At 44.3% G+C, this 4,169-nt stretch overlaps 1 annotated feature.

The window, feature by feature from the left end:
• Positions 1,276 to 1,484: a silencer, noted in NCBI's record as "fragment chr11:97482377-97482585 (GRCh37/hg19 assembly coordinates)". NCBI's record gives its function as "represses an EF-1alpha promoter that drives an FKBP-Casp9 reporter gene in an ReSE screen in K562 erythroleukemia cells {active_cell/tissue: K562}" and the evidence as "EXISTENCE:reporter gene assay evidence [ECO:0000049][PMID:32094911]".

Genomic DNA, 4,169 nt, shown 5'->3' with positions numbered 1-4,169 from the left:
TTAAAAATATGAATAGACCCATGACAATTAAACTGATTGGATTAGCAATCATAAACTTCCCACAAAAAGGGGTGCAATACTAGATGGCTTCTCTGGTAAATACTAACAAGTGTTTAAAGAAGAAGTAATACTAATTTTTAACAAGTCTTAAAAAAAAAGGATGGAGCACTTCATAACTCATTCTGGGAGATCAGTGTTACCCTGATCCCGGCACTAGTCAAAGATATTTCTCACACATACAACCAAAGCAGAAGAGTAATTAAAACTACAGCCAAATATTATTATGAATGTGGAAATAAAAATATTCAACAATATGCTTGCAAATTGAATTCAAGAACATGTAAAAATAATTAAAAATCATAATCAAATGGGTTTTGTCCCAAAAAGGCATGGTTGGTTTAATATATAAATGTCAACCTATAGCATATTATTATAATAAAAGACAGTAATACATAAAAATTTCAAAAGATGCAGAAGAAAATCTAACATTTAAAAAATTTAAAAAGCACATACACAGTAGAAAATAAAGAAGTTTTCCAAACTTGATAAAAGACATCTAGGAAAAAATGCAGGTAACACTATACTTATTAGCTAAAATTATAACACTCTTAAAAGAAAGCATAAATGTAAATCTTCACGATCTTGGATTATACAACTGTTTCTTAGCTATGATACCAAAAGCACACACAATAAAACAACAAAATATTAAACTTTATCTAAATTTGTTTTTATGCTTCAAAGATTATGATCAAGAAAGTTAAAAGATTATCCTTATAGGGAGAGACACACAAAAAAATTTTAAATGTAATAAAAGAAAAAAATTAAAAGGCTACCAAAAGAATTGGAGAAAATGTTTTCACATAATATATCTAATAAGAAACATATCCAGAATATAGAAATAATTGTTCCAGCTTGACAGTAAAAAGACATATTCTAATTAAAAGTGGACCAGAGATTTCCCTAGATATTTATTCAAAGTACGTGTACAAAATACTGATAAGCATATAAAGAAATGCTTATAATCTTTAGTCATTAATAGAATGCAAATCAATACCATAATGAAATACCACTTCACACTTGCTAATGATACAGGAGGGGGGCAGGGAAGTGCTGGGTAGAGAAAGGCATGGGTCCCTGGCAAAGGCTCCACCCTTGGGCCTGTGCCCATGAACCGAAATGAGGATAGGCATTTCTGTTTCATGCCCAAAAAGTTGTCTTTTGGCCTGCCACGCCCCCCATCTGGTGACCATATAAACCTGAGACCTTAAGCGGGCACAGACGCAAGTGGCTGGACATCGAGAAGAGCAGAGGGACACACCGGCAGACACCAGCAGGTGCTGGCTGACCAGCGACGGTGGAACAATGCAGACGCTGAGGGTTGGTCAGCCAGGGGCAGTCAGAGGAGAGGCCAGCCACTGGGCGGCCCATTTCCAGGGGAAGACCACCTTCCCACTCCATACCCTTTCTGGCTCCACATCTGTCTCCCTGAGAGCCACTTCTACCACTTAATAAAACCTTGCACTCACCCTCCAAGCCCATGTGTAATCCGATTTTTTTGGTGCACTGGGCAAGAACTCAGGATATAGAAAGCTCTCTGCCCTTGCGATAAAGTAGAGGGTCTAATAGAGCTGACTAACACAAGCTGTATGCAGATGGCAAAGCCGAAACAGCACTGTAAAAAAAAACCGTAACACATGCCCACTTGGGCTTCAGGAGTCATAAACACTCACCCCCTAGACACTACTGTGGGGTCAGAGCTCAAAAGTGCTCCCCACAACCTGTGCATGTGCCCATCTGCATGCTCCCCCTAGGGGTTTGAGCAGCAAGGCACCGAAGAAGTGAGCCACACCCCTGTCACATTCCCTGTGACGGGGAAAAGGTAACTTTCTTGTTTCAGCTGGGGCTCATCCGGGATACTCTCATCAGAAGCTAAGTGCAAATATGAAACTGTTGGATCTGCTTCTTCCAAGACCCTGCCACCTCTTTCTATTTCCTGCAGGTAAATGGCTCTGTTCCCTTCACAGAGGTTTAACTACCCTAATGGGCACCGGTCAAAACCCCCAGACTTTGTTTGGTGTCTTTTCTTCTCTCATGATTTGAAATGGCTCTTATCTCTTCCTTTATAATGTTAAGAGTTTTGCTACATGCTGCAGCAATGTAGCCAAGTAAAATGAGCATTTGGTTCAGCCATCAAAGGTGCAAATCAGAGCAATCGTTCTTAGAGGTACCATTCCTGCCTCCACCGTGACAGCTGCAGGCGTGCACAGCTCACAGCACCTCCTCTTCCTACCCTCTCCCCTACTAGCTCAGGCACCTGGGCACGTTCACAGCATGCAAAGCCCATGCCCGGTGGCCACAAGGGGTGGGAGAAAACTGTGGCTACCACAGGGACCCTGCAGGGCCAATTGGCTGGTACTCCCCACCCACCATACCAACAGAACTTTTTCTCCCCTGGCCAAAGAATTCAACCTAGCCTGAAGTGGGAAAAGGATACAAGGATTAAAGGGACCCACCTGCACTGAGCAAGGGATTCTTCCCGCAGGAGCTCCCCCTTTGGCCCCTTAAACTGGTTTTTTAAATTTTTTTATTTGTTGCTTTTCTGAGTGAGAGGGTTCGCCTCTCCAGCACGCTCCTTCTGCTAGGGAAGTTAGCAGAGGAATGACCCCTGCTGGCTGATAACTGCAAATTTAGCAGGACTCATTTGAGACACTCTAAACAGATACATGCAGCCCCTTGAGTCCCAAACTTGATTCCAAGCTTCAGGCTGAGGCCCTAGAAAGGAAAACCAGATCTGAGGGATCTAAAGCCAGGTGACAGGCACAATGTAAATAGGCAGGAACAATTCCTGCCGACTGAACCCCTACCCCATGGAAGCAGGCCATACTCCATGGTATAAATGAGGCCCAGGGAACTCAAAGGTTGTCAACAGCAGGGGAAGAAGGAGGCATAGATGTGGGCAGTTAATTCCTATTCTCTAGGTCTTCCCTGCTTCATGGGTTCATACCACATTGGGTTGTTAGTATATTTCCCTTCTTATCTCTGTAATCTTTGGCCCTAAATTCTTTCCTTGTATAATACATGTGTTTAATCCATGCATATTTAACCTTTATAAAACTTATTTTTTTCTCTCTCAGAGGCATCAAACTCCAAACAGTCAGGCCACTGGAGCTTCAGATGATGGCTCCCCTTTGCCAGGAACCCTTAAATAGACCTCAGGAAGGAATCTGAATGCTGTTTTCCCCAAAACAACACCCCCTGTCAGCAGGAAGTAGCTAAGACTGGTCGTCATCCATATTCTAAAGGCAGTTAGATGTGTCTCTTCAGAGGGGGAAGATGATATGGGAGTAGGGCAAAAAAGTGCTGGGTAGAGATGGGCAGATCCCTGGTGAGGGCTCCACCCTCAGGCCTGTGCACATGAACCTAAATGAGAACAGGCATGTCTGTTTCTGTGCCCAAAAAATTGCTTTTTGGCCTACGACACTCCCCATCCTGTGCCCATATAAACCTAAGACCTTAAGCGGGCATAGACACAAGTGGCTGGACACTGAGAGGAGCAGAGAGGCACACCAGCAGACACTGGCAGACCAGCAATGGAGGAATGATGCAGACACCAAGGGGAGTTTGGCTGGGAGTGGTTGGGGGAGAGTTGGGCCACTGGGAGGCCTGACTCCAGGGGAAGACCACCTTCCCACTCCATCTCCCTTCCAGCTCCCCATCCATCTCCCTGAGAGCCACCTCCACCACTCAATAAAACCTTGCACTCACCCTTTAAGCCCACATGTGATCCTATTTTTCCGGTTCACTGGGCAAGAACTCAAGATACAGAAAGCCCTCTGCCCTTACAATAAGGCAGAGAATCTAATTGAGCTGACTAATACAAGGTGTCTGCAGATGACAAAGCTGAAAGAGCACACTGTAAAACACACCCACTTGGGCTTTGGGAGTCATAAACCCTCCCCCTTAGATGCTGCCATGGGCTCAGAACCTAAAAGCGCTCCCCACGACCTCTGTACCTGCCTGTCTGCATGCTCCCACTAGAGGTTTGAGTAGCAGGGCAAAGAAGATGTGAGCCACACCTCTGTCACATGCCCTGTGAGGGAGATAAGGGATCTCTGCTGTTTCGCTATGATGGCTTTGATCAAAACGTAGGCAATAAGAAGTGTTGGCAA

Source organism: Homo sapiens, chromosome 11, assembly GCF_000001405.40.
Source record: "Homo sapiens chromosome 11, GRCh38.p14 Primary Assembly".
Taxonomy (NCBI): Eukaryota; Metazoa; Chordata; class Mammalia; order Primates; family Hominidae; genus Homo; species Homo sapiens.
This window is presented reverse-complemented; position numbering and strand designations above follow the sequence as displayed.